Raw genomic sequence first — 775 nt, 5'->3', positions numbered from 1 at the left:
GCACCTCAAACTTAAATGATGAAAAATTTTCAAAATGAATTTGATATAGAGACATTATGTTTTTCATTAAAATGATTTTAAAGACTATTTTGTTATCATACAGTAGATGGTACCTTGTAAACAGACCTAGACAGTGTAAGGACATGGTTCTGTTACAGTGGGTAGTTAGATATGAGCAGGGCAGGAGATAGACCTGCCCAAACCGGACTGTCAGGTGACCAGCATGTGATGATGGTGAGGCAGTTGTTACGTTGTCTCTCTAAAATAATAATTGGTAGCAGCCAGCACCAAGGAAAGGCAGTCTCCCAGTAGAAGAAATCTGAAACTGGTGATTGGCAGCTTCCCAATAAGATCTTAGGAGTTGGGTGAGTGGGCTCAAGCATGCAAACTACGAGGCAAAATGGCAAAGTTTAACCGGTATTTGACCTTCTAGGAAAGCCTCAAGTGAGTATGCCTACAACTTCAGTAAACGCACTGAACACGTGGCCCCTCCCAAGTGTTAGCAGGCCACTGTGCATGTGGAGAGCCTGCCCCAATGGAAGAAATGGGGAGAAGGCAACAAGACCCCAGAAGCATGCCAATGTATGAACCCCAAGTCAAAGGTCAAGCTGTGCACTTGAATCTCTCAAGTCACCCTCTTGGCCCTCTTCCAAGTGTACTTTACTTCCTTTCGTTCCTGTTCTAAAATGTTTTAATAATTTTTGCTTCTGTTCCCACACTTGCCTCAGTCTCCCACTCTGCCTTATGCCCCTCAGTGGAATTCTTTCTTCTGAGA

Source organism: Homo sapiens, chromosome 13, assembly GCF_000001405.40.
Source record: "Homo sapiens chromosome 13, GRCh38.p14 Primary Assembly".
NCBI classification, from domain to species: domain Eukaryota; kingdom Metazoa; phylum Chordata; class Mammalia; order Primates; family Hominidae; genus Homo; species Homo sapiens.
Note: the sequence above shows the minus strand (reverse complement) of the source record.